Raw genomic sequence first — 22,593 nt, forward strand, 5'->3', positions numbered from 1 at the left:
GTCAGGAGGCCAAGGCAGGAGTATCACTTGAACCTAAGAGGTGGAAGTTGCAGTGAGCTGAGATCACACCACTGCACTCCAGCCTGGGCAACAAGGTCCAGACTCTGTCTCAAAAAAAAAAAAAAACCAAATTGTCATTAAACTTTTAAAAATTGCACAGAACTTTGTACTCTCCTAATAAAACATATCTTGTTTTACCTCGTAACTCGCATTTTTTTTTTTGACAGAGTTTTGCCCTGTCGCCCAGGCTGGAGTGCAATGGCGTGATCTCCGCTCACTGCAACCTCCACCTCCCGGGTTCAAGCGATTCTCGTGCCTCAGCCTCCTGAGTTGCTGAGATTACAGGCACACGCCATCACGCCTGGCTAATTTTTATATTTTTAGTAGGGACAGGGTTTCACTATGTTGCCCAGGCTGGTCTTGAACTCCTGACCTCAGGTGATCTACCCGCCTCGGCCTCCCAAAGTGCTGGGATTACAGGCGTGAGCCACTGCACCTGCCCTGTAACTCAGATATTTTTATACTTGCCTTAATCTCTACCAGATTAGAAATCTTGCAAATCTTGCCTTATTTATCCTGTCTCCTACACAGTGCCTTGCACATAGGAAACATTCACAAATGCTTAATTTGAACTTAATTCCAGACAGTGTCTTGCTATGTTGCCCAGGCTGGAGTACAGCGGCTATTGACATGTGTGATTATTGCACACTACAGCCCTGAACTCCTGGGCTCAAGAGATCCTTCTACCTCAGTCTCCCAAGTAGCTGGAACTACAGGCACACACACACCACTTTGCCTAGCTAATTTCTTTTTTTTTTTTTCAGACGGAGTTTCACTCTTGTTGCCTAGGCTAGAGTTCAATGACATGATCTCGGTCACTGCAACCTCCGCCTCCAGGGCTCAAGTGATTCTCCTGCCTTAGCCATCCAAGTAGCTGGGATTACAGGTGTGCACCACCATGCCTAGCTAATTTTGTATTTTTAGTAAAGACAGGGTTTCACCATGTTGGCCAGGCTGGTCTTGAACTCCTGACCTCAGGTGATCCATCCGTCTTGGCCTCCCAAAGTGCTGGGATTACAGGCGTGAGCCACCACACCGGGCCCTGGCTAATTTCATGTTTAAATGCATACTTTATCATCATTCTTTTTTTTTTTATCATCATTCTTTTCTTTTTATAGTGGGCATGCACCACTATACCCACTAAATTTTAAAATTTTTATAGAGATGGAGTCTCACTATGTTGCCTAGGCTTGTCTTAAACTCCTGGGCTCAAATGATCCTCCCACCTTGGCCTCCCAAAGCGCTGGGATCACAGGCCTGAGCCACGGTGCCCAGCCAAAAATTCTTATAATGAATATAAATTCTCATTTAAACTACTTATACATAGTTACACTATTTTTCTTTCACAGTGCTGTGTGAAGAGTAAACTCTTGGCCGGGTGTGGTGGCTCAGACCTGTAACCTCAGCACTTTGGGAGGCCAAGGCAGGCGGATCACCTGAGGTCAGGAGTTCAAGACCAGCCCGGCCAACATGGTGAAACCCCATCTCTACAAAAAATACAAAAATTAGCTGGGCGTGGTGATGCACGCCTGTAATCCCAGCTACTCGGGAGGCAGAGGCAGAAGAATCACTTGAACCCGGGAGGCAGAGGTTGCAGTGAGCCGAGATCACACCACTGCAGCATTCCAGTCTGGGCGACAGAGCAAGACTCCCTCTCAAATTAAAAAAAAAAAAAGGTAAACTCTCAATAAGTATTTTCTGAATTCAATTGAAAATGGTTAAAGTCATTTTATTTATTCTTTGATTTTTTTTTTTTTTTTTTTTTTTTTTTTTTTGAGACGGAGTCTCACACTCTCGCCCAGGCTGGAGTGCAGTGGCGCCAGCCATCTCGGCTCACTACAAGCTCTGCCTCCCGGGTTCACGCCATTCTCCAGCCTCAGCCTCCCGAGTAGCTGGGATTACAGGCGCCCGCCACCATGCCCGGCTAATTTTTTGTATTTTTAGTAGAGACAGGGTTTCACCGTGTTAGCCAGGATGGTCTGGATCTCCTGACCTTGTGATCCACCCGCCTCGGCCTCTCAAAGTGCTGGGATTACAGGCGTGAGTTACCACGCCCTGCCTATTTGATTTTTAAATCAACTTTTTTTTTTTTTTTTGAGACGGAGTCTCGCTCTGTCGCCCAGGCTGGAGTGCAGTGGCGGGATCTCGGCTCACTGCAAGCTCCGCCTCCCGGGTTCACGCCATTCTCCTGCCTCAGCCTCCCAAGTAGCTGGGACTACAGGCGCCCGCCACTACGCCCGGCTAATTTTTTGTATTTTTAGTAGAGACGGGGTTTCACCGTTTTAGCCGGGATGGTCTCGATCTCCTGACCTCATGATCCGCCCGCCTCGGCCTCCCAAAGTGCTGGGATTACAGGCGTGAGCCACCGCGCCCGGCCAAATCAACTTTTATGGAGCAATAAATTCCCCTTTTAGTTGACCATCTAAGGTCGATCTTGCTGGGTATGGTAGCACATGACTGTAATCCCAGTTACTTGGGAGCCTGAGACAGGAGAATCACTTGAACCCAAGAGGCAGAGGTTGCGGGAGCCAAGATCACACCACTGCGCTCCAGCCTGGGTGACAGAGCGAGACTCCATTTCAAACAAACAAACCAAAAAAAAACATTGGTGACCTCCGGGGAGCGGGGACCACCAGGTTGACCAAGGAGGGATGAACCTGGGAGGTGAACTGGCCCAGATCAGAAATAGAGCAGGTCAAAAACTCCTGTGCTGATCAGTAGTGGGATCTGCTTGTGATTAGCCACTGCACTGTAGCCTGGGCAACATAGTGAGACCTTGTCTATTAAAAAAAAATAAAAATAAAAAAAATAAAAAAAATAAAAAAAAAAATAAAGTCAATCATTTAAAAAAGAAAGAAACACAGTTGGGTGCGGTGGCTCACACCTGTAATCCCAGCACTTTAGGAGGCCGAGGCAGGCAGATCACGAGGTCAGAAGATTGAGACCATCCTGGCTAACACAGTGAAACCCTGTCTCTACTAAAAATACAAATATTAGCCGGGCATGGTGGCAGGCGCCTGTAATCCCAACTATTCTGGAAGCTGAGACAGGAGAATTGCTTGAACCTGGGAGGCAGAGGTTACAGTGAGCCGAGATTGTGCCACTGCACTCCAGCCTGGGTGACAGAGAGAGATTCCATCAGAAGGAAGGAAGGAAGGAAAGGGAGGGAGGGAGGGAGGGAGCGAGGGAGCCCAGGCACAGACAGTGGTTCATGCCTGTAATCCCAGCACTTTGGGAGGCCGGGGTGAGGTGAGAGGAGCACTTGAGCCCAGGAGTTCAAGGTTTCAAGGTTATAGCATGCCAACACTGCACTCCAGCCTGGGTGACAGAATAGGACTCTATCTCTTAAAAAAAAAAAAAAAAGAAAAAGAAAAGTCAGATAAAGAGTAACTGAGAAAATAAACACACAACAGGTTTTGAAGGAGTTTTATAATATGTAACTTTTCCATCAATGCACACCACCATTTTTTTTTTTTTTTTTTTTGAGATGGAATCTCACTCTGTCACCCAGGCTGGAATGCAGTGGCACGATCTTGGCTCACTGCGAACTCCGCCTCCCGAGTTCATGCCATTCTACTGCCTCAGCCTCCCGAGTAGCTGGGACTACAGGCACCCGCCACCACGCCCAGCTAATTTTTTGTACGAGGTTTCACCTTGTTAGCCAGGATAGTCTCAATCTCCTGACCTCGTGATCTGCCCGCCTCAGCCTCCCAAAGTGCTGGGATTACAGGCATGAGCCCCTGCACCCAGCCCCTCCCCCACTTTTTTTTTGAGACGGAGTCTTGCTCTGTCGCTCAGGCTGGAGTGCAGTGGCATGATCTTGGCTCACTGCAACCTCTGCCTCCCAGGTTCAAGCAATTCTCCTGCCTCAGCCTCCCGAGTAGCTGGGACTACAGGCGCGCCCCACCATGCCTGGCTAATTTTTGTATTTTTTTTTTAGGAGAGACGGGGCTTCACCATGTTGGCCAGGCTGGTCTTGAACTCCTGACCTTGTGATCCGCCCACCTCAGCCTCCCAAAGTGCTGGGATTACAGGCGTGAGCGACTGTGCCCAGCCACTTATTAGAATTTTTAAGCAAGGAGGAGCCGGGTGCGGTGGCTCATGCCTGTAATCCCAGCACTTTGAGAGGCAGAGCCGGGACGATTACCTGGGGTCAGGAGTTCGAGACCAGCCTGACCAATATGGTGAAACATGGTCTCTAAAGACAAAAAGTTAGCCAGGCGTGGTGGCACACGCCTGTAATCCCAGCTGCTTGGGAGGCTGAGGCAGGAGAATCAATTGAACCTGGGAGGCAGAGGTTGCAGTGAGCTGAGATTGTGCCATTGCACCCCAGCCTGGGCAAGAAAAGTGAAAACTCTGTCTCAAAAAAAGAAATAAATAATTTTTAAGTAAGGAGAATTACTATTTCAATTTCACATCTTGGCTATATTTTGACAAAGGAGATAATACTCCTGTAAGAGTATAGCAATATAGCAACAATCGCCTGTCCCAAGCCAGGAATCAATCAGTGTTCCTCTCCCCATCTCCACCCCAATCTCAAGAACCTTTTACTTCCCAACTAAACAACACAATTGGCAAATGAAGCCTGTGTGAAACCTGTATCAAAAACCAATAAGAGAGCCTGCAGCGAACCAATGTGTTACGCAGCTACTCTCGTAAATGATTACTTGGCCTCTCATAGACTTCTCAGCAGAAGATGGACCTTTATATCCTGGTGGAAAGACTAATTTAATATTTCTGAGCATTTATTTCTAATGCTATAATATTTCTAAACATTACATCATTATTTTCCGCCTTCCACTATCCTTTAAGGGCAATTAATTATTCTTGCTAAGGGGAATAAATGGCATAACAAAATTATAATTCCAAAAAGTGACAAAATCTAAAACAACAAAGTGGTTTTGCATATGCAGTCTTGGTTGAGATTGTAGTGGGTTGATTGGCCACATGATCAGAAATTTATTTCTGGAAAATTTTCACAGAAAAATGGGTAGGAATGGTGGTGGGGTCCATGTGGTATATGTCCTGAGGTCTGGGGCAGAGGACATTTACCAAATAATGTCTAAAGAGAGTGCTAAGACCCAAAGCTAGAAAATCCTGTCCAAATGGGTTATGGAAGTAAGATGGTGCAAGGACAAGAGCATAGATTCTAATTCAAGGGGATCATCAAGCCAGGCAGGCAAAGAAGAGAAATGGAACAACTCTGGACAGTAACTGGCAGGCCATCTGGATGAAAGCTGGTTACAGCTGCTATTGTCTAGGACTGAATCCCTTGTGTTAGGGCTGGTCTGATTCATTTAAAAAGTCTTAGCCAGGCATGGTGGCTCACACCTGTGATCTCAGGACTTTGGGAGGCCGAGGCCGGAGGACTGCATGAGCCCTGGAGTCCAAGACCAGCCTGGGCAACATAGGGAGACCTTGTCTCTACAAAAAAAGTAAAAATTAGCCAGGTATGATGGCATGTGCCTTTAGTACTAGCTACTTAGGAAGCTGAGGTAGGAGGACTGCTTGAGTCTAGGAGATCGAGGCTACAGTGAGCCATGTTTGCACCACTACACTTGAGCCTGGGCAACAGAACAAGACCCCATCTCAAAAAAGAAAAAAATAAAAAGTCTGGAATGGAGCAGACACTAAACTTCATATCCTGGCAAAATTCCAGAGATACTGTGTCTTTAGCTTAGTCCTTTCCTGTCCAAAGGGCAAGTTATGGGACAGATTGATAGATCATTCATATCCAAGGAATAGCACTGATTTTAAGCAATTTGATTATCATGTTTGTTGGTGCAATTTTATTCATGTTTCTTGTACCTGGGGTTCATCGAACTTCTTTTTTTATAATTTCAATAAGTTTTTGGGGAACAAGTGGTGTTTGGTTCCATGAATAAGTTCTTTAGTGATGATTTCTGAGATTTTGGTGCACCTATCACCTGACCAGTGCACACTGTACCAAATATGTAGTCTTTTATCCCTCACCTCCCTCTCACTCTTTTCCCCAAGTCCCCAAAGTCCATTGTATCATTCTTATGCCTTTGTGTCCTCATAGCTTAGCTCCCGCTTTTTTTTTTTTTTTTTTTGAGACAAAGTCTCATTTGCTCTGTCACCCAGGCTGGAGTGCGGTGGTGCGATCTTGGCTCACTGCAACCCCCTCTCCCAAGTTCAAGTGATTCTCCTCCCTCAGCCTCCTGAGTAGCTGGGATTACAGGTGAGCACCACAAGCCCAGCTAATTTTTGTATTTTTAGTAGAGATGAGGTTTCACCATGTTGGCCAGACTGGTCTCAAACACCTGGCCTCAAGTGATCCGCCTACCTTAACCTCCCAAAGTGCTGAGATTACAGGCATAAGCCACTGCACCCGGTCGCTTAGCTCCCACTTGCAAGTGAGAACATAATGACATTTGGTTTTCTATTCCTGTGTTACTTCACTTAGAATAATGGTCTCCAAATGCAAACTTTTTTTTTTTCTTTTTTCTGAGACGGATGCTCTGTCGCCCAGGCTGGAGTGCAGTGGCATGATCTAGGCTCACTGCAACCCCTGCCTCCTGAGTTCAAGCGATTCTCCTGCCTCAGCTTCCCGAGTAGCTGGGATTACAGGCGCACACCACCATGTCCAGCTAATTTTTGTATTTTAGTAGAGACGGAGTTTCACCAAGTTGGCCAGGCTGGTCGCGAACTCCTGACCTCAAATGATCCACCCGCCTCGGCCTCCCAAAGTGCTGGGATTGTAGGCATGAGCCACCACACCTGGCCACAAACTTTTATTAGCATTTATTTTATTCTGAATTTATTCCCATGCCACAAGTTTTTGTTTTTGTTTCTTCAGTTACTTTTGAGATATCTTTTTCTTCAATTCAACTTCCTCTTCTGGTTAAAGAATAATTTGTTCTGGCCGGGTGCGGCGGCTCATGCCTGTAATCCCAACACTTTGGAAGGCCGAGGCGGGCGGATCACTTGAGGCCAGGAATTCGAGACCAGCCTGGGCAACATGCTGAAAGCTGGTCTCTACTAAAAATACAAAAATTAGCCGGGCATGGTGGCACTGGCCTGTAATCCCAGCTACTCGGAAGGCTGAGGAAGGAGAATTGCTTGAACCTGGGAGTCAGAGGTTGCAATGAGCCGAGATGGCGCCATTGCACTCCAGCCTGGGTGACAGAGCAAGACTCTGTCTCAAAAAAAAAAAAAAAAAAAAAGAATTTGTTCTTTTCAGTAAGGATCATCTCGATGTGGCAGGCAGAGGTCACGTATGGGTTAATCTGACCATGAGCTCTGTAAGTCCAGCAGTGCATCTTGGGTGCTTTGTTCACCTGGATAGGCTCAATGATCAGAGAATCTATATCCAAAACCTTAAATTCAGCATTACTCTGCATTTTTAAGCATGTGCAGCAAAAATTCAGTACTCTTTTTGGGCCAGCAACCCTGTATCTAGCCCCACTGTCTGGCCTGGGCACACCTACCAACTCCACCATTGTAGCGTGGTTTCTACACAGTACTTTTATAAAGTGACATCTTTCAGAATACTTGGTGGCTTCTCGTGTATGCCTACCCTTGATGGCCCAGATAATTTCACCCGTATTCTTAAAGAAAACAAAGATTTGAACCTTTTGATTTGCATGATTTTGTGAAGTTTTCTAGGACAAATGAATAGTGAACCATTTTCACAGATCACCTCAGGCTGCTTAGAGGAAGCGAGCTCATTAAGCTTCTTTGATCAAAGGGTTTGTTTTTATCTAATTTGGAATTTTTCAGCCATTATTTCTTTAAATATTTTTTCTTTTTCTTTTTCTTTTTTTTTTTTTGAGACAGAGTCTTGCTGTGTTGCCCAGGCTGGATTGTAGTGGCGCAGTCTGGGCTCACTGCAACCTCTCCCTCCCGGGTTCAAGCGATTCTCCTGCCTTAGCCTCCCGAGTAGCTGGGAATACAGGCACCCGCCACCACATTCGGCTAATTTTTGTTATTTTTTTAGTAGACAGTGTTTTGCCATGTTGGTCAGGCTGGTCTCAAACTCCTGACCTTAGGTGATCCACCCGCCTTGGCCTCTCCCAAAGTGCTGGGATTACAGGCATGAATGAGCCACAGCGCCCGACCTCTTCAAGTATTTTTTCTATCTCCCATCCTCTCCTTCAGGGAATTTAATTACACATATATTAGCCTCCCTGATACTGTGTTATGGTTTCCCTGATACTCTTTATTTTTCTCTTTCAGTAATTTTTCTGTTTTTCATTTTTCTATTATTATTATCTTTTGAGATGGAATCTCGCTCTGTCGCACTCAGGCTGGAGTGCAATGTCACAATCTTGGCTCACTGCAACCTCCACCTCTCAGGTTCAAGTGATTCTCCTGCCAGCCTCCCGAGTAGCTGGGTTTACAGGCGCCCACCACCACGCTAGGCTAATTTTTGTATTTTTAGTAGAGATGGGGTTTTGCCATGTTGGCCAGGCTGGTCTCAAACTCCTGACCTCAAGTGATCTGCCCACCTCAGCTTCTCAAAGTGCTGGGGTTACAGGCATGAGCCACCATGCAAGGCCTCTGTATTTCATTTTAGATAATTTATATTGTGTGTCTTCATGTTCACTAATCTTTTCTTCAGTATCTAATCTGCTTTTAACCTCATGCAATGTATTCTTCACCTCAGACATTGTAGTTTGCATCTAGAAGTTTTTTTGTGTGTGTTTTTTGGTGGTTGTTTGTTTTGTAGAGATGAATGTCTTGCTATGTTGCCCAGGCTGGTCTTGAACTCCTGGCCTCAAGTGATTCCTGTCTTAGCCTCCCAAAGTGCTGGGGTTATGGGCATGAGCCACCACATCTGGCCCATCTAGAGCTTTTTTTCTTTTTTAGAGACAGTGTCTCGCTCTGTCACCCAGGCTGGAGTGGTGCAACGGCACAATCATAGCTTACTGTAGCCTTGAATTCTTGGCCTCAAGGAGTCCTTCTGTTTCAACCTCTTGAATAGCTGAGAGTGTGTGCCACCGTGCCCAGTTAATTTTTTTATTTTGTAAAGATGAGATATCTGTTTATTGCCTGGGTTGATCTCAAACTCCTGGCCTCAAGCGATGCTCCCACCTTGGCCTCTCAAAGTGCTGGGATTACAGGTGTGAGCCACTGCATCTGGCCCCATCTATAGTTTTAATACGAGTCTTTATATCTTCCATGTCTCAACTTAACATGCTCAGTCTTTCCTCTATCTTATTGAAATATGGCTATAGAATCTGTTTTAGTATCCCTATCTACTAATTATTTTGCTTGTTTGTTTTACCTCACCTCAAAAGCCAAGGCAAATATACTAATTCTATTACCTATGGCATTTCTGGGTGTAATTCTATTGATTGATTGATTGTTATTGTCCTCATATGAGTGATCTTTTCCTGGTTCTTTGCTCTTTTGTATTTTTTTTTAAGATATGGAGTCTTGCTACTTGCCCAGGCTAGAATGCAGGTAGACATTTTGTCTACATGGTTTTTCAGTTGTTTCAGGCAGGAGGATACACCAGTCCCTGTTACTCCAGCTTGCCAGAGCAGAACATGTAAATTCAACAGAACCACAGATGGTTGTGTATACTGCATTTAGGCTTTTCCACATTCTTAGATTTACATGGCCTTACCATTTGCAAAGAATAAAGCAGGCAGGGTGCAGTGGCTCACACCTGTAATCCCAGCACTTTGGGAGGCTAAGGCAGGAGGACTGCTTGAGCCCAGGAGTTCAAGACCAGCCTGGGCAACATAGTGAGACCCTGTCTCTACAAATAATAAAAAATTAGCTGGGAATGGTGGCATGTGCATGTAGCCCCAGCTACTGAGGATTCCTTGAGCCTGGGAGGTCTAGGTGGCAGTGAGCCATGATCATGCTACTACACTCTAGCCTGAGCAACAGTGGGAGCCCCTGTCTCAAAAAACAAACAAACAAACAAAATAGATTAATCAAGGGGATAAAAATAAAAAGTAAAAAAAATTCATATGCAGTCACACAGGAGGTGCAAAGCACCTCCCTGATAAATGTCTTCCAAGTGGAATGTATCTTTGTTTTTATCAAACATCAGGGAATGTATTTTTCTCTGGATATGGTGTTTTTGACTAATATTTGCACAGAAATTGTTCATATTTCTGCCCCCCCAAAAAAACCTCAAGATAAGATTTTTAAGGAAAATTATGTGCATGAAAAGTCTTACATTGTATCCCAAATACAATTGGGGGAATACAGAATCATGTGTAGATATTTTTCCAACTTTTTATTTTCAAACCTGAAAACCAGGCCGGGTGTGGTGGCTCACGCCTATAATCCCAGAACTTTGGGAAGCCTAGGTGAGTAGATCACATGAGGCCAGGAGTTCGAGACCAGCCTGGCCAACATGGCAAAATCTTGTCTTTACTAAAAATACAAAAATTAGCTGGGCATGGTAGCACACACCTGTAGTCCCAGCTACTCGGAAGGCTGAGGCATGAGAATTGCTTGAACCCGGGAGATGGAGGTTGCAGTCAGCTGAGATCGTGCCAATGCATTGCAACCTGGGTGACAGAGAGAGACTTTGTCTCAAACAAAACAAAACCTGAAAACCAGAAAATTTAAAGAATACACATATACCCTTTACCTACAGACACCAATTGTTAACATTTAGCCACATTTACTTTATCTCTCTCTCTAGACACACACATACACACACACTTTGCTGAATCATTGACAGTAATGTGCAGACATCATGATACTTTACCCCTAGATTCTTCAGTGTGTGTTTTCTATGAACAAAGACATTCTCCTACATGATCACAATATCACTATCATACCTGCAATAGACTGAATGTTTCCCCCTGAAACTCATATGTTGAAACCTAATCCCCAGTGTGATGGCATTTGGAGGTGAGGCCTTTGGGAGATGAAAAGGTCATGAGGGTGGAACCCTCATGAATGGGATTAGTGCCCTTATAAAAGAGATCATAGAGAGCTCCCTTGCCCCTTCTACCATATGAGGGCACAGTGAGAAGATGACCACATCTATAAGCCAGAAGGCAGGCCCTCACCAGACTCTGAATCTGCCAGTGATCTTGGATTTCCCAGCTCCAGAAGTGTTAGAAATAAATTTCTGTTGTTTATAAGCTACCTAGTCTATGGTATTTTATCATATCAGCCCAAATGAATTAAGACAATACCCATGAAATTTAACATACACAATAGTGTCTAATGTACAGGCTATACCAAAATTTCCATTTCCCTGTAACTGACATTTATCCTCTTATCTCCAAAATAACTCTTCTCTGCCAGGCGTGGTGGCTCATGCCTGTAATCCCAGCACTTTGGGAGGCCGAGGCGGGTGGATCACCTGAGGTCAGGAGTTCGAGACCAGCCAGGCCAACATGGTGAAACTCCATCTCTACTAAAAATACAAAAAATTAGCCAGCGTGGTGGCAGGTGCCTGTAATCCCAGCTACTTGGGCGTCTGAGGCAGAAGAAACACTTGAACCCGGGAGGTGGAGGTTGCAGTGACCTGAGTCTGTGCCACTGCACTCCAGCCTGGGCAACAAGAGTGAAACTCCATCTCAAAAACAAAAACAAAACCCTCTTCTTCCTTTTATGCCCCCAACAGTTATGGGCCCTCCCCAAAGCTAAACCAATGCTCTCACCAAAGCAAAGCATGCCCAGTTCTTCATAGCCTTGATCTACCATCACTACACATATTATTCCATTTATTCCTTATACAAGAAGGTATTATCTCTATTATCTCATTTATTCCTTAAACAAGAAGGTATTCACTATCTCTATTATAAGAAAAATTAGGTTCAGAGAGATTCATTAACTTGGCTACAGTCACACAGATATTTATTAAGTCTCAGAGTCAAAATTTGAACTCAGATCTCTGACTTCACAGCCCATGTTCTTTCTGCTACGCCACACTGTCTACTGTATCAAATCTATATTACTTTTTTTTTTTTTTTCTGAGACAGGGACTCACTCTGTCTTTCAGGCTGGAGTGTAGTGGTGCAATCACAGCTCACTGTAGCCTCGACCTTCCAAGCTCAGGCCATCTTCCCAGCTCAGCCTCTTGAGTAGCTGGGACGACAGGCTCATGCCACTATGCCCAGCAAATCTATATTACTCTGACTAATGGAGATCGCAAGGCTTTTGTTTTATCTAAATGAGACCTCCATTTATTACTTACACAGTGATTAATAAGCATACAAGTTTTAGTGTTTTCTCTGTTAATTCTTAGTAGTCTACATTCTAGGATCTCTTTGAGGGCACAGCTAGTTTTGTTCTTAGAGACACCCTCAGCACCTAGAATGATGCCAGACACTTAGTAGGTATTCAGTGAATGTCTACTGGATAAATGCATGAATTAGACTAAGTACACATAGACTCAAAATAAATATACAAAGTATGTTTTCAAGCTGATTTTCTAACCCAGCAAGGGCTGTAAACATTCATTGTAAGAAGTTGATCAAACAGGAATTTACTCTGCTGCACTTTTTTTTTTTTTCTGAGACAGGGTCTCATTGTGTTGCCCAGGCAGGAGTGCAGTGGTGCAATCATGGCTCACCACAGCCCCAACCTCCCAGGCGGGCTCAGGTGATCCTCCCACCTCAGCCTCCCAAGTAGCTGGAACCACACGCTCAAGCCACCACATCTGGCTAATTTTTGTAATTTTTGTAGAGACAAAGTCTCACCATTTTGCCCAGGCTATTCTGCTGCATTTTTAACATTTTCAACAATAATTCCTTCATTTAGACCACCATCTCCTCTCACTCAATCTTACCATTACACCTTTGCTCAATTTTCAGACCCAGCATTAATCTCAAATCCTCCTTCTGCAATTCCAGCTTGAAATCTTCCTTTTGTTCTCATCTTTAACCTATAAGCAACATTTTTATTATACATTATATTTTACATTGTTCTTATTGCAGAATTTATCATTATTATGCATAAATAATAATCAAAGGCAATATTTTCCCAGTTATTTGGTATCATTTAAGTGAATCTTCCAGATTACTCAACTCTATAAGAATTAAACCTTTTAAAACATTTGCATCATCTTTCACAAAAAGCCTTCTAAAATGCATTAAATATTTTTCTCCCTCTTAAAACAGCATGAACAGAACATTCTTTAACCTTTTTCTGACTCAAGCTCTGACCGAAAGCATCTGTTACTGCACTGGTCCATGGCAGAGAGATGCCATGACAGAAAATGATTTTTCTGTCACTTTCATCACATATTATTTTGCTTCATTCATCACCAGCTGCCACTTCTTATTCCTGATCCAGCTCTGGAAGCTCCTAATTCTCAGCTCATTATAACGTAGGAAACCAGCCAAATGAACTTGTTAACATTTGTGATGAAAATAACTAGACCCCAAGGATCTTACAAACAAACTGAGTTAGTTTAGTGACACCTTTTTTGTACACTCAAATGCCTTTTTTTTTTTTTTTTGAGATGGAGTCTTGCTCTTGTTGCCCAGGCTAGATTGCAATGGCGCGATCTTGGCTCACTGAAATCTCTGCCTCCTGGGTTCAAGCGATTTTCCTGCCTCAGCCTCCCGAGTAGCAGGGATTAAAGGCACATGCCACCATGCCTGGCTAATTTTTTATATTTTTAGTAGAGAAAGGGGTTCACCATGCTGGCCAGGCTGGTCTCGAACTCCCAACCTTAGGTGATCTGCCTGTCTCAGCCTCCCAAAGTGCTGTGATTACAGGCGCCTCTTTTCCTTAATAATCCCTAATTCTTGGCTAGGTTGTTGGGTAAAAGTTATTTCCTGATAAACAAGGCGTTACCTTATATATATTATCAATAAAATTATATGTATAAATACATGGAAATGCACGCATAGTATTGCATTATTCAATAAGAGTTTTACAGCTGAATATCCCTCTTAGGAATTCCTTGAGGACAAAGACTCTATTTCTTTTTTTTCTTTTTCTTTTTTTTTTTGAGCCTGTCTCCCAGGCTGGAGTACAGTGGTGTGATCTTAACTCACTGCAACCTCCACCTCCCAGGTTCAAGCAATTCTTCTGCCGCAGCCTCCAGAGTAGCTGGGAATACAGGCATGCACCACCATGTTTGGCTAATTTTTCTATTTTTAGTAGATGGTTTCGCCATGTTGGCTAGGCTGATCTCAAATTCCTGACCTGAAGTGATCCGTCTGCCTTGGCCTCCCATAGTGCTGGGATTACAGTTGTGAGCCACTGTGCCTGGCCTCTATTTCTTTTATGTAGTACCTGGCACATAGTAGGAGCTCAAAAATGTTTGCCAATGAATGGATATTATAGCGTAGCCTTCTGGTGTGACAGAAATTATTTTTAAAATTTATTTGCTAGATTATGCAACAAAGCAAGACCCTTTCTCTACAAAAATTAAAAGTATTAGCCAAACACGGTGGCACATCCCTGTAGTCCCAGGTACTCAGAAGGCTGAGACAGGAGGATTGCTTGAGGCCAGAAGTTTGAGGCTGCAGTGAGGTATGATCATGCCACTGCACTCCAGCTTGGGGGTGACACTGTGAGACTCCATCTCTGAAAAATAATAAAAAAAAAATGGCCGGGCACAGTGGCTCACGCCTGTAATCCCAGCACTTTGGGAGGCTGAGGTGGGTGGATCACCTGAGGTCAGGAGTTCCAAGATCAGCCTGACCAACATGGTGAAACCCCATCTCTACTAAAAATACAAAAAATTAGCTGGATGTGGTGGCGGGCTCCTGTAATCCCAGCTACCTGGGAGGCTGCGGCAGGAGAATCGCTTGAACCCAGGAGGCGGAGGTTGCAGCGAGCCGAGATCACACCATTGCACTCTAGCCTGGGCAACAGGAGCAAAACTCCATCTCAAAAATAAATAAGTAATACAAATAAAATAAAATAAAATCAATTATTTGCTCACTTGCACTTAACCATGGGGGAAAACTTTTGGGAAAAGGTGAAATGGAAGTTGTCAATATAACTTCTAAGCTCCAAGTGTAGGACCTTTCCTTTTTCCTTCCACTATATTCCCAGAGGCTAAATCAATGCCTGGTACATAGTGTTTAATTTATTTAGCACCTACTATATGCCAGGCATATTATTCAGAGACAGGGTCTCACTCTGTTACCTAGGCTGGAGTGCAGTAGTGCAATCAAGCTTACTGCAGCCTTGAACTCCTGGGCTCAAGCAATATGCTCACCTTGGCCTCCTGAGCAGCTGGGACTACAAGTGTGCGCTACCCCCACTGAGCTGATTTTTAAAAATTATTTTTGTGGAGACAGGGTCTCATTATGTTGCCCAGACTGGTCTTGACCTCTTGGCCTCAAGTGTTCCTCCCACCTCAGCCTCCCAAAGTGCTGGGATTACAGGCGTGAGCCACCTTGCCTGGCCATGCCAGGCATATTCCAAATATTAATTTGTGTAATAATTCTATGAGGTTGGGACTATTACTGTCATTCCCTTTTTACAGGTGAGAAAATTGAGGCACAAAGAGGAAACTTACCCAGAAGTTCACACTGCTAGTGAGAGGCAAAGCTGGAATGCAAACCCAGAACTAGTTCCAGAGGCAGTACTATTAATCCTTATGTAATAGTGCCAGATATATTTCTGGAAATGACTTAGTTAACTACTAATTTCTGCACCTTGCTTTGCTTGTAAAGGCTGTTGCTACAAATCTACAGTTGACTACTTCTATAGAAACCCAGCTGTCTTAGTCTGTTTTGTATTGCTATAAAAGAATAACTGAGACTGGGTAGTTTATAAAGAAAAGAGGTTTATTTAACTCATGGTTCTGCAGGCTGTACAAGAAGCATGGCACTGGCATCTGCTTGACTTCTGGTGAAAGCTTCAGGTTGCTTCCACCCATGGTGGAAGGCAAAAGGCTTCTCTCATGGTGAGAGAAGAAGAAACAGTGAAAAAGGGGAAAGTGCCAGGCTCTGTTTAACAACCAGCTCTTGTGGGAATTAATAGAAGAAAAACTCCCTCACCACTAAGGGAAGGCATTAATCTATTCATGAGGTATCTACCCCCATGACCCAAATACCTTCCATGAGGCCCACCTCCAACATGGGGATCAAATTTCAACATGAGGTTTAGAGGGGACAAATATCCAAACCATAGCACCAGCATATTAGAATTGTGTTTATTTATTCTTCTCAAGAATGTATTTTTTTTTTATCGAGACCATCCTGGCCAACATGGTGAAACCCTGTCTCTACTAAAAATACAAAAATTATGGCTGGGCGCGGTGGCTCATGCCTGTAATCCCAGCACTTTGGGAGGCCGAGGCGGGTGAATCATGAGGTTAGGAGTTCGAGACAAGCCTGGCCAACATGGTGAAAGCCTGTCTCTACTAAAAATACAAAAAATTAGCTGGGCGTAGTGGTGGGCGCCTGTAATTCCAGCTACTTGGGAGGCTGAGGCAGGAGAATCACTTGAACCCAGGAGGCGGAGATTGCAGTGAGCCGAGATCGTGCCACTGCACTCCAGCCTGGGTGACAGAGTGAGACTCTGTCTCAAAAAAAAAAAAAAAAAAAAAAATTAGCTGGGCATGCTGGCGCGCACCTGCAGTCCCAGCTACTCGGGAGGCTGAGGCAGGAGAATCGCTTGAACCCGGGAGGCGGAGGTTGCAGTGAGCTGAGATCATGCCACTGCACTCCAGCCTGGCGACAGAGCGAGACTCCATCTCAAAAAAAAAAAGAATGTATTCTTTTTAAACTAAATTTATTTATATATATTTTTTGAGACGGGGTTTCACTCTGTCATCCAAGCTGGAGTACAGTGCTGTGCTCATGGTTTACTGCAACCTCAACCTGCCTGGCTCAAGTGATCCTCCCACTTCAGCCTCTTGAGTAGCTGGGACCACATGTATGCATCACTACACCTGGCTAATTTTTTAATTTTTTGTAGAGACAGGCTCTCCCTGTATTGCCCAGGCTGATCTTGAACACCTGGGTTCAAGTGTTCCTTCTGCCTTGGCTTCCCAAAGTGCTGGGTTTATAGGCATGAGCTACCATACCCAGCCAAGAATATATTCTCCCAGAATGTCAGAGGAGTTGAGGCAGGATGTGTGGCTAAGAGAGTAGATATAAAGTCATTGCTGTGGCTATTAATTCTCCATTCCCAAGTCACCCACTGTGATATAAGGAAAAGCATTAGATAAATTCTTGGCATCCTGTCCTAGTCCTGTCACTAGCTAGTTGTGAGATGTCTCAATTTATTAACTCACTTTAAGCCTCAGATTCTTCATCTGAAAATTGGGTTGTGGTTGACGGAGTGAGAAAATGTTTGGATTAGATCAGTTGTTCTGAATCTTAACTGTACATTGAAATCACACGGGGAGCTTTAAAAACTACCAATCCCTGGGTCTCACTCTCAGAGATTTTGATACAATTAGTCTGGAATGGTACCTGGCCACTGAGGTTTTTGCAGCTCCTTGGGGACAGTCTAATGTGCAGCCAAGGTTTACAACCAGTGAATTTGATGAAAACGTGAACATTTGTTGCTACTTTGTTAAGTGTGGAAACAGAAAGTCAGAGAGGCTTAAGCAATACTGCCCTTGGACCCAGGCACTGGGGGTCCTGTTGTGGGCCCTGATTTAGAAGGGCCTTGCTCCGGCTCTTCTTGGGCTGTGCCCTTCCCTCAGGTGAGGAGAATCATCAGAGGTGGGAGGAGTCTGCAAGGTCAAGAGGACATGCCCACACCGAGACCCTCTGTTTAAAACCCTCTTTGGGGCTGGGTGTGGTGGCTCTCGCCTGTAATTCCAGCACTTTGGGAGGCCAAGGTGGGCAGATCACTTGAGGCCAGGAGTTCAAGACCAGCCTGGCCAACGTAGTGAAACCCTGTCTCCACTAAAAATACAAAAATCAGCCGGATATGGTGGTGCGCGCATATAATCCCAGCTATTTGAGAGGCCGAGGCAAGGGAATTGCTTGGGCCTGGGAGGCAGAGGTTGCAGTGAGCCAGGATTGTGCCACTACACTCCAGCCTGGGTGACAGAGTGAGACTACGTCTCAAAAAAACAAAAAGAATAAACCCTCTTTGGGTACCTAAGACCTGAAGTTCTCTACGCAAAGAGCCCTGAGCCTCCCACCAGGGCCTACATTGGCCTCTTCCCCAAGTCCATACCCCAGGGACAAACTATGCTGCAAGTATGCACATCCCTAAGCCCAAGGGGTGGCTGATTTTAAGAGGATGTAAATGGAAAGTGGACTGCAGGTGGGAGTGTCAACATAGGTGTATACAGTCATTCTTTGAGGGCTGCTGAAGCCAAAGGATAAGGATGGCACAGGGGTAGGGGGTTAAATGCCTGCCCCTACTGGTTTGCCAAATGGGATGACAACATGGGCTTCCAATGTGAGCCAGAAAAAGCCCTCAGGGAACGACATATGGATATGCTGGGTTAGAAGTCATACTGGTGTGTGTTGAAGTGGTAAGAATCAGTGGGCATGCAAGGTGGGCCTGGGGTAAGTCCACTATGATGGTTCTACTGACAACCAGAAATGGCTTTCACTTGGGATAGGGTGGGTTGGAGGTGGTGATGGAGGTGCTAAGCTAGGTGTTCTTGAATAGTAGTTTCCAAATTAAGGACAGGTGCTGATCTGTAATAAAATTTTCTTGGTGTACTAAAAAGATAAGAAAGGCCAAGAGCAGCAGTGGTCATGCCTGTAATCCCAGTGCTTTGGAAGACCTAGGCAGGAAGATCACTTGAGGCAAGTTCAAAACCAGCCTGGGCAACATAGCAAGACTCCCTGCCACCCACGACCCCCGCTTCTACTAGATATATATATATATATATATATATATATATATATTTTTTTTTTTTTTTTTTTTTTTTTTTTTTTTGAGATGGAGTCTTACTCTGTCTCCCAGGCTAGAGTGCACTGGCATAATCTAGGCTCACTGCAACCTCCGCCTCCCGGGTTCAAGCAATTCTCTGCCTTAGCCTCCTGAGTAGCTGGGATTACAGGCGCCCGCCATCACACCCAGTTAATTTTTTGTATTTTTAGTAGAGATGGGGTTTCACTATCTGGGCCAGGCTGGTCTTGAACTCCTGACCTCGTGATCCACCCGCCTCAGCCTCCCAAAGTGCTGGGATTACAGGCATAAGCCATTGCGCCGGGCCACAAATTTTTTTTTAAAGAATTAGCTGGGCATGGTGGCACCTGTAGTGGCACACCTAGCATGGTGGCATGCTAGGACCTGTAGTCCTAGCTACTCAGGAGGCTGAGGCAGAAGGATCACTTGAACCTGGGAGGTTAAGGCTGCAGTGAGCTGTGATCGGGTCACTGCACTCCAGCCTGGAGTGAGACCCTGTCTCAAAAACAAACAAAAAACCAAACTTGGATAACTGACAGAGTTTAGGATAGAATTACATGGAAAAACCAACAAAACAAGACAATTATTAACTCCAGAAAAAACTAAAAGTTGTGTGGGAAAGGAAAAGTAATCATAGTTTGGTACATAACTTGGCTGTGACTACCGTTTACATGATTATAATAGCATATATACTGAAGATTAATCAAACAGAATATAACTATCTTGGGAAGATGGAGAGATTAAAAAAAAAGGTTGGGGGTGAATATGGGGTGAAAGTGATGGAGAAAAAGAGCTGAAGTCTCCTCTGGTGTCTCAGCACTCCACCCAAGGTAGAGCCTCTGGATGGAAGAAGGAATCTCCCACCTCTCCACCACACTCCCCCAGGATTTACCTTCAGCATCAGGTAGCTAGGGGCAAGATGAGAAATGCTGATATGCTGGTCTCTGACTGGGAGCTGTGGGAAGAGAGAGGTTCTGAGTTGCAGCAGTCTGGAGTGGAGTCTCTTGCTGAACAAAGGGAGAGGTTTGGTTTAAATACCACAGACTGACTCTCACATTCTGATCCAAGAGTTTTCATAGATTTTTTGGAACAGATGTTTCTTCATTTGCTGTTTGCCCTTAGGACCATTTCAAAGGCTTTAAATGGTTAATGGTTGTTTGTTGTTTTAAATAATTTTCAGTTTCACTAGGGGTGAATCCCGAGCTCTTCATGCCGTCCTGCTGTTAGTCTCTCTTGGTATTATTCTTCACCTTTCCTGTGAGTTTAAAATTATCTCAAGAAAAGTTAAAGCTCTTTAAGAATCACAATAAAGTAGTTATTAGGAATAAATAAAAACGTAGAGGGGCGCGGTGGCTCACGCCTGTGATCCCAGCACTTTGGGAGGCCGAGGCGGGCAAGGATCACTTGAGGCCAGCAGTTGGAGACCAGCCTTGCCAACATGGTGAAACCCCATCTCTACTAAAAATACAAAAAAAAAAAAAAATTAGTCGGGCATGGTGGCTTGCACCTGTGGTCCCCGCTACTTGGGAGGCTGAGGGCTGGATGGTTTGAGAGCGGGAAATCCAGGCTGCAGTGAGCTGTGATGGCGCCACTGCCTTCTAGCCTGGGCGACAGCGCGAGACCCTGTCTCAAGAAGGAAAACAAAAAAAAACAAACAAAAACATACACACAAAAAACCACAAAGTGTGTTCACGTTTGCTATGACTCCCAGACAACAATTGTAAACACTCGCGCCGGGCGTGGTGGCTCACGCCTGTAATCCCAGCACTTTGGGAGGCCGAGGCGGGCGGATCACGAGGTCAAGAGTTCGAGACCATTCTGGCCAACAGTGAAACCCCGTCTCTACTAAACACAAAAATTAGGCGGGCGTGCTGGCGCGTGCCTGTAGTCCCAGCTACTCGGGAGGCTGAGGCAAGAGAATCGCTTGAACTAGGAAGGCGGAGGTTGCAGTGAGCTGAAATTGCGCCACTGCACTCCAGCCTGGGCCACAGAGCGAGACTCTGTCTCAAAAAAGAAGGAAAGAAAGAAAGAAAAAAAAAAACACTCGCAGTGTTTACTCCTAACGCGTGGAACTTGTGTCGACATCCACCCCCGGTTACTGCATACTCAGTCACACAAGCCATAGCAGGAAACAGCGAGCTTGCAGCCTCACCGACGAGTCTCAACTAAAAGGGACTCCCGGAGCTAGGGGTGGGGACTCGGCCTCACACAGTGAGTGCCGGCTATTGGACTTTTGTCCAGTGACAGCTGAGACAACAAGGACCACGGGAGGAGGTGTAGGAGAGAAGCGCCGCGAACAGCGATCGCCCAGCACCAAGTCCGCTTCCAGGCTTTCGGTTTCTTTGCCTCCATCTTGGGTGCGCCTTCCCGGCGTCTAGGGGAGCGAAGGCTGAGGTGGCAGCGGCAGGAGAGTCCGGCCGCGACAGGACGGTACGTGCCCCGCGCTCGACCCCCGCGCTGGCGGCGCCGGAGCTGTCCCAGACCCCAAGCCCCGACGCCCGGCCCTGAGTCAGCATTGCAGCAGGCCCTGCGCCGCCGCGCCCCGCGTCCCACCCCGCGCCGCTCCTCACAGCCCTGCGCTCCGGGAAACTGCAGGTGGCCGGCAGTGGCCAGGGGATGGCGGGGGCGCTTCTGGAACCTGACTCAGTTTTGTAGGTTCCTTATCTCGGTTGTTTACCGCGGGCTTTGCGGAATGCCCCCGCTTCCGTTTCCGCCCGGCTCCGAACCCCCGAACCCCTTCTACCCGCAACTCCGCCCCGGATTCCCAGAAAGGGGCGACCTGGGCCACAGCGGTACAAGCTGCACCCCGATGGACCTGAGAGACCGGAAGTAACCCTTGGCCAACTCTGGCCGCCCCCTGCAGCCGCAGCCCCAGAGGCCCACCCGCGAGCTTCAGTGGCGGGCCCTCAGCGTCGTGTAAACTTTGCTTAAAATGATCTTGAGAGTTCAATTCTTGGGGTGAACTGTTGAGAAGATCTGGCATTTTTCCTTTCGAAAGTTGTTGGGAACGTGGACTTTCCCAACAATTGTGTATGCGCTCGATCTCACTCAGTGGGAGCCGCCGCCCTGGAGGGAATTTCACAATAGCCTGGTCAGGGCGGTTATTTTCCAGAGCAGTTTAATGTCTATTTTGCCCAAGTGCAAGGAAAGCTTGCCTTGGGAAAGCTGGGAATGCTTGGCTAATGAAAAGTTTTTAGAGCCTTTTAAAATGAACCTGTTTCTGCCACTTTTCCACCGCCTCAAAACGACTGGGAAATGTAAACTGGCTTCAAGATGTTCTTGCTTGAGGGTGTCTGGATTTGGACAGAAGGCCATGTTCTTTTAATATTAACAGTGGCACGCAGTAGAACAAAGGCCACTGAAATTCAGAATCAGTTTTTGGCTCCACGGGCAGGAAGTAAATTCAAGGACGCCAGAGGTCTTGCGAATATTTTAATTGGTTGACATTTGAAATTTGTTCTTAAGCAATGAGGGGTGAAACCAGTAGGGGGATAGCGTATAGCATAAGTAAAGCTTTTTGGACATCAACAAACTGCGATAATCTACAACAGACAGCGGGCTCTGGAAGGTTTGACCTGCTTTAGAGAGAGATTTCCGATAAGAGGAACGGAGTTTTTGGCACTTTTCGGTTTGGTGATTCCCCTAAATAACCTTACAAAAGTTTCGTTGAACAAAAAACCTGGCTGGAGCTCCAAGATCTTTTTTTTTTTTTTTTTTTTTTGAGACAGCATTTCACTCTTGTTGCCCAGGCTGGAATGCAATGGCACTATCTCTGCTCACCGCAACCTC

The 22,593-nt window shown here is 45.5% G+C and overlaps 1 protein-coding gene, 1 long non-coding RNA gene and 1 pseudogene across 25 annotated transcripts in view, besides 2 other annotated features; 1 reads left to right on the forward strand and 2 right to left on the reverse strand.

Moving 5' to 3' along the window:
- RPL17P10 (ribosomal protein L17 pseudogene 10) lies at positions 7,246-7,731 on the reverse strand (annotated as a pseudogene).
- LOC105373836 (uncharacterized) lies at positions 10,257-21,437 on the reverse strand. 2 transcript variants are annotated; one of them, XR_923785.3, is made up of 3 exons: positions 19,697-21,437; positions 12,797-12,892; positions 10,257-10,556 (listed from the first exon to the last, which is right to left on the reverse strand). It is a non-coding gene; the product is annotated as an uncharacterized LOC105373836 (long non-coding RNA). The 2 variants fall into 2 exon arrangements; XR_007088051.1 differs by lacking the exon at positions 10,257-10,556 and having other exon boundaries at positions 11,841-12,892.
- Positions 20,903-21,162: an enhancer, noted in NCBI's record as "active region_16974". NCBI's record gives its function as "activates an Ori minimal core promoter by ATAC-STARR-seq in GM12878 lymphoblastoid cells {active_cell/tissue: GM12878}" and the evidence as "EXISTENCE:reporter gene assay evidence [ECO:0000049][PMID:35858748]".
- Positions 20,917-22,593, forward strand: part of CFLAR (CASP8 and FADD like apoptosis regulator) — a 60,524-nt gene continuing 58,847 nt past the window's right edge. For all 23 annotated transcript variants that reach the window (XR_001739013.3, XR_007083713.1, NR_147251.2 and 20 more), the window contains exon 1: positions 20,917-21,234. The gene's annotated coding sequence lies outside the window, so the exon portion shown is untranslated. The remainder of the gene's footprint in view (positions 21,235-22,593) is intronic.
- Positions 21,193-21,402: a silencer, noted in NCBI's record as "silent region_12229". NCBI's record gives its function as "represses an Ori minimal core promoter by ATAC-STARR-seq in GM12878 lymphoblastoid cells {active_cell/tissue: GM12878}" and the evidence as "EXISTENCE:reporter gene assay evidence [ECO:0000049][PMID:35858748]".

The sequence above is a fragment of the Homo sapiens genome, chromosome 2 (genome assembly GCF_000001405.40).
Source record: "Homo sapiens chromosome 2, GRCh38.p14 Primary Assembly".
Taxonomy (NCBI): Eukaryota; Metazoa; Chordata; class Mammalia; order Primates; family Hominidae; genus Homo; species Homo sapiens.